This window comes from Homo sapiens, chromosome 3, assembly GCF_000001405.40.
Source record: "Homo sapiens chromosome 3, GRCh38.p14 Primary Assembly".
Classification (NCBI taxonomy): Eukaryota; Metazoa; Chordata; class Mammalia; order Primates; family Hominidae; genus Homo; species Homo sapiens.
The window spans coordinates 152,683,822-152,690,641 of record NC_000003.12 but is presented as its reverse complement, the minus strand read 5'-3'; the positions used below and the strand labels follow the sequence as shown (position 1 = coordinate 152,690,641).

The 6,820-nt window shown below is 43.3% G+C and overlaps 1 annotated feature.

Annotated features, from left to right (window-relative positions):
• Positions 1,498-2,026: an enhancer, noted in NCBI's record as "H3K27ac-H3K4me1 hESC enhancer chr3:152406405-152406933 (GRCh37/hg19 assembly coordinates)". NCBI's record gives its function as "activates a minimal SCP1, AML or CMV promoter by ChIP-STARR-seq in primed H9 embryonic stem cells {active_cell/tissue: H9 hESC(primed)}" and the evidence as "EXISTENCE:reporter gene assay evidence [ECO:0000049][PMID:30033119]".

Here is a 6,820-nt window from a genome sequence, read left to right as displayed (position 1 = left end):
GATTAGTTCCTCCTGATCGCTTTTGGTGTCCATTTGCATGGAATATGTTTTTCTACCCCTTTCCCTTAAGTTTATGTGAGTCTTTATGTGTCAGATGAGTCTCTTGAAGACAGCAGATACTTGGTTCATGAATTCTTGTCTATTCTGCCATTCTGTATCTTTTAAGTGGAGCATTTTGGCCATTTAAATTTAATGTCAGTATTGAGATGTGAGGTCCTATTCTATTCGTCATGCTATTTGTTACCTGTATACCTTGTTTTCTTTTTTTCATTGTGTTATTGTTTTATAGGTCCTGTGAGATTTATGCTTTAAGGAGATTCTATTTTGGTGTACTTTGAGGATTTGTTTCAAGATTTAGAGCTCCTTTTAGCAGTTCTTGTAGTGCTGACTTCGTAGTGGTGAATTCTCTCAGTATTTTTTTGTCTGAAAAATACTGTATCTTCCCATCATTTATGAAGGTTAGTTTCACTGGATACAAAATTCTTGACAGATAATTGTTTTGTTTAAGGAGGCTAAGGATAGTACCCTAATCCCTTCTAGCTTGTAGAGTTACTGCTGAGAAATTTGCTGTTAATCTGATAGGTTTCCCTTTATAGATTACCTGATGCTTTTGCCTCACAGCTTTAAGATTCTTTCCTTTGTCTTGACTTTAGATAAGCTGATGACTATGTGCCCAGGCAATGATCTTTTTGTGATGAATTTCCTGGGTACTCTTCGAGCTTCTTGTATTGGATGTCTGAATCTCTAGCTAGGTCAGGGACATTTTCCTTGATTATTCCCTCAAATACATTTTCCAAACTTTTAGATTTCTGTTCTTCCTCAGGAACACCAATTATTCTTAGGTTTGGTCATTTAACATGATCCCAAACTTCTTGGAGGCTTTATTCATTTTTTAAATTATTTTTTCTTTGCCTTTGTTGGATTGGGTTAATTTGAAAGCCTTGTCTTCAAGCTCTGAAGTTCTTTCTCCTACCTGTTTCATTCTGTTGTGGAGACTTTCCCATGCATCTTGCATTTCTCTAAGTGTGTCCTTCATTTCCAGAAGTTGTGATTTTTTTTAATCTATGCTATCTATTTCACTGGAGATTTATCCATTCATATCCTGTATCCTTTTTTTTTTATTTCTTTAAGCTGAGCTTCACTTTTCTCTGGTGCCTTCTTGACTAGCATAATAATCAACCTTCTGAATTATTTTTCTGGCAATTCAGAGATTTCATCTTGGTTTGGATTCATTGTTAATGAGCTAGTGTGATTTTTTGGGGGGTGTTAAAAAACCTTGTTTTGTTGTGTTACCAGAATTGTTTTTCTGGTTCCTTCTCATTTGGGTAGGCTATGTCAGAGAAAAGGTCTGGGACTCAAGGGCTGCTCTTCAGATTCTTTTGTCCCTCGGGCTCCTCTCTTGATGTGATGCTCTCTCCTATCCCTTAGGGATGGGGCTTTCTGAGAGCCAAACTGGAGTGATTGTTATTTCTCTTCTGGGTCTAGACACCCAGTGGAGCTACCAGGCTCTGGGCTGGTACTGGGGAGTGTCTGCAAAAAATCCTGTGATGTGATACATCTTCAGGTCTCTTAACCATGGGTACCAGCACCTGCTCTGGTGGAGGTAGCAGGAAAGTGAAGTGGACTCTGTGAGGGTTCTAAGTTGTATTTTGTTGAGTGCACCAGTTTTGTGTTGGTTGGTGGCCAGCCAGGAGGTGGCTCTTTCAAGAGCTCATCAGCTGCGGTAGTATAGGGAGGATACAAATTTTCCCTAGTGTTGCCTTTGGATACGTATTCAGGTTTCTCAGGTTGTAGGCAGGGCCATAGAGCTCCCAAGAGGTTATGTCCTTTCTCTTCAGCTACCAGGGTGGCTAGAGAAAGACCATCAGGTAGGGGCAGTGTTAGGCATGTCTGAGCTCAGACTCTCCTTGCTGCATCTGCTGTGGGGGATGTGGGTGTGGTTCCCAGGCCAATGGAGTTATGTTCCCAGGGGGATTATAGCTGCCTCTGCTGCATCACACAGGTTGCCAGTGAAGTGGGAAAAGCTGGCAGCCACAGGCCTCACCCAGCTCCCACAGAGCTCACACCGTGAAAGGCCGGTCTCACTCCCACCATGCCCCCTCAACAGCACCAAGTTTATTTCCAGGCAGCTGGTGAGCAAGGCTGAGAATTTGCCCCAGGCTACGAGCCTCCCAGCTGAGAAAGTAAGCCGACTCACAGTTCCTCGCTGTCCCATGGAGCCTGCAGTGACAATCCACCCTTTCAAAAGGTCTATGGATTCTGTTGGCTTCCCTGGTATGTTCCTGTGTGGTTCTTGGAGCAGAAATTCACAATGTGAGTCTCTACACACCACTCTGTCTGTCAGAATGGGAGCTGGAAGTTAGTCCTGCCTCCTATCTTTCATTTTTTCCCATTATAAGGTTATTAAATGACCCAATTTCAATATTTTTTATCTAGGAATAGGGACATCCAAGGAGCAGGAAAGAGATAGGAGAACAGCTGGTAGAGCAGTCAGAACATATACATGTATTGATTAGTTCACCATTTAATATTAACACAGTTTGTCATGTCCCCCAATTACAATAGTAACATCAAAGATAATTGGTCACAGAGCACCATAACAGATATAATAATATTAAAAATCTTGAAATATTATGAGGATTATCAAAGTATGATACAGAGCACATGCTTTTGTAAAATGGTGCTGACAGACTTGCTCAATGCAGGGTTGCTGCAAATCTTTAATTTGAAAAAAATATTGGATCATCAGGTATGGTAGCTCACGCCTGTAATCCCAACATTTTGGAAGGCAGAGGCGGGTGGATCACTTGAGGTCAGGAGTTCAAGACAAGCCTGGACAACATGGTGAAACCCTGTCTCTACTAAAAATACAAAAATTAGCCAGGCGTGGTGGCAGGCACCTGTAATAACAGCTACTCGAGAGGCTGAGGCAGGAGAATTGCTTGAACCCTGGAAGCAGAGGTTGCAGTGAGCCGAGATTGCACCACTGTACTCCAGCCCAGGTGACAGAGCAAGACTCTGTGTGTGTGTGTGTGTGTGTATCTCAGATAACATATATATATATATATATATATATATATATATATATATATATATATATGTTATCTGAGAAGTGCAATAAAGTCAGGCACAATAAGATGAGGTATGCCTGTACTTCATAAACATCTTTAGTAGAGTAAGTATAGATACCTTTGAAATCATTATAATTATTATTGCATATGTATCTCCCTCAATCCAAAAGTCAGCATCAATAAACTTAATAGTGAGCCAATTGTAGAAGGCACAAACACTACAAGAATGCCCACTAATACCTCCATTATGTACATCCGTTAAATAAATTGTTTTGTAAATATTAGCAAAAGCAAATATACAAGAGAAATGAATGAGACATAAACACTGAAGGGGAAGAGAAAACTACCAATGTTTGCATATATAATAATTGCATATTGGAATAGCAGCTAAAACAAAGAGCTACAAAAATCAATAGGTTGGATCAAAAAGTAACCCAATGCAAAATATAATAAAAGGAAAAATCATGTTTAAAATAACACCCAGGTTCAACTTTTGTTGTATAAAACTAAGAGCTTTGAGTAATCCAGAAATGGCTATCAAAAAATGTGTGGGCAACACACTTCATGGAACTAAGGAAAACTAAGATTGGATTAGATAGGTGCCGATGGCTTCGAAAACTAACTAGCACTAGGGACAGGATTTGGGTAGCCCATGGTGCACAAGGGAAGGAATAGATAATTTGCCACATGAGGTAACCTAGAATGAATTCACAGACTCACTAAGTCTCCTTTGGAAAATTAAGACATTCTTTGGGAAAGAATGGGTCTCCATTAATTGAAATGGGAGAGTTTTAGATGACTCAGACTATCCAAAATTCCTAGATTCCACTGAGAATGCTTCGCTAGCAGAAGCAACACCTTATCTCCAGTCTATTGTAGAATTTGTTCCTCCTTTGCTTGAAGACAATGTAATGGGAAGTTAAGTCTTTTTATGCCTTACCACCACCATCTTTAAAATTCCTAGACCTGTAAGTAGAATCAATCCCTATGTGGCTCTTGGTCATAAACACAAATTGTACCTTGAAAGAGAAAGCTTACTAGCAAAGAAATTGCAAAACTTTGATAATTTTTCTAGACAAAACATAGAGAATATCTGAGACAATAGAATTCCAAAGTGCTAGACCAAGGTGCAATATATAATTTTACATCAGTCAGATTCATCAATATATATGAATTCATCAGAGATTTGGAATTCATCATGACAGCTTGAACAGCAGTAACACTCAGTTGACTAAAAACTATATTCAATGGTGATCCACACTGAATAAAGTTGATATGAGAAAAATAATCAGTGTATGGCAAAGGAAGGCACTCTAAGTCTTAGATCATATGTGCCATATGTGACCAATGAACCCACTCCCTGTGTCCCCTCAAAGGGGTTGACAGAAACTTATGTCTTCATGATAAATGCACTGGTGAGAAAAGCACCAAAGTGCTTAAAAAGTGTGAAGTGGCAGGTTTTTTACAGGTTGAAGAAGCTAGTGGGAGACACTGCAGGAATCTCAGCATGGCAGAAGGGGTGTAGTTACCATAACAAGCAGCAGAGCCAAAGTAATTCTCATAATGGTCTTATCTACAGAAATCATAGGTAGTGGCTAATTGATCATAGGCTTCCTAAGTGGATCATAGGATTTCACCAAGATTCTGTCTGGGACATGTAACTCACCTGGTGAGCAGAGAACTGACTCGACCCACAATAATAAATCCCCAAAGCCTCTTAGTAAGTAGACAGTTACTGAGTCCTGGGACAGTTCTTAGACTCAAAGCTCACAAATGAAGGGGAGGACCAGCCACTTTGAGAAAAAGCCATAATAGCAGCATCAATAATATGTTTTATAATGTTTCCATTTTCCTTTCTCAAAAGGACATGTACCTATTTGCTAAAGTAAGTATACATTGCTGGTAAAGGAAATGTCCAGACCTTTCTGATTGTTAGCTAACCCAGAATATAACCACCAGTTAGACTGAGCCTTTGGAGGCTCAGTGATAAACGGGATTTGGATTTGGGACCATCTTGCAGTAGAAATGTTAGGCCCATGTGTTTATTCTATAGATATTTTTGAAGTTTAGTGTACATTAACAAAATAAATATACTCAGCTATGGGCAGAATCAGCATCAGCTACATGTGGCTCTGTGTATTTTTTTTTTTGTGTGTATATATATTCATTTAATTCACAACTTATAAAGCAGAGCCCACTGATTTTTCATTTTACAGATAAAGAAATTAAGACCCAGAATGAATAAGTAACTTGCTCCTAAGGTCACAAGCCAAGTTTGTGGCAGAGATGGTGATGCTCCCAGCAGCCTGTCTGGAGCAGCCACTGCAGGGATGCCAGTTGCAGCAGGGGAAGGGCATCCAGGGCTGTGCTCTCTATGGAGCTGGTGGGAGGCAGGAACAGGTGGGAGCCACGCCCCCTACTGAGTTGGCAGGGTGGGAGCCCCAAGCTTCTGGGTGCAGCTGCAGCCACCCAGCCACGGCTCCTGACCTGGGCATCCTTGCACTCTTGGGAGCCCGGGAAACCCCCCTTGCCCTCACAGGATCAGAAGTGCCTTCTCCTGCTCCCTGACCTCTCCCTGCTTCCAATGCCCACTCCAATTTTGGAGCAAATTTGTGGCCGAGCCTGGGTGCTGTCACAACCCAGCTGAGTGTGCATGCACTCAGGGTGGTGCTGACATGCCAGCCCCCCCACTTCCTCAGTCCCCTCCTAACTACAGGCACTGATGACTGTGGGAGAGAGGCCAGGAGTGATGCTGAGGGCAGCTCAGCATGGGCCTGCAGGCATCCCTTGGCATGAACAGCTTGGACACCATGGACAACATGTTGATGGCAGGAGGCAGACGGGTTCCTGGGCAGAAAGGGGTGGGTCCCTGGTCTCTTCAAGCCAGGGATGGCCTGAAGCCTGGAGGCTGAGCTGTCAGTTCCAGGTAGAGTCCACAGCCCAGAATGAGAACTTATGATGCTTTCTCTGGGCCTGCCCATGGCCACCCATTGACCAATCAGCATGCACTTCCTCCCTTCTGAGCCCATAAAAATCCTGGACTCAGTCAGACTCACGCAGACATTGAGACTACTGGCTGCAGGAAGGAGCTACCCATTTTGGGTCTCCCCAACTTGTTGGGATGACCTGCCTGTGGAAAGGAGCTACCCATTCTGGGTCCCCTCTTCTCTGAGAGCTGGACACTCATTGGATGACCTGCCTGTGGAAAGGAGCTACCCATTCTGGGTCTCCCTCCACTGAGAGCTGGACACTTGGGACTATCTGCCTGCAGAAAGGAGATACCCACTATGGGTATCCTCTCTGCTGAGAGCTGGGTGCTTATTGGGATGACCTGCCTGTGGAAAGGAACTACCCACTTCAGGTCTCCTGAGAGCTGTTCTGTCATTCAATGAGGCACCTCTCCACCTTGCTCACCCTCCAGTTGTCCGCATACCTCATTCCTCCTGGACACAGGGCAAGAACTCAGGACCTGCCAAATGATGGGACTGAAAGAGCTGTAACACAAACAGGGCTGAAACACACTCCCTACTTGCCATGTTGCAGGTGATGAGAAGAAGAGAAGAACTGCAGCCCTTCGGTGACCCCAGACCTAGGAACTCCCTGAGCCAGGGCTATGACTCCCTCTTTGGGGCTCTGCAATTCCTGGCAACTCCAAGCTTCTGGGTGCCACCACATTCCCTGGTGCCTGCAGTGGTAGCCACTTGTGGTATGCCTGGTCCAGCCGCAGCCTTGCAGGGAGCCGGCACCTG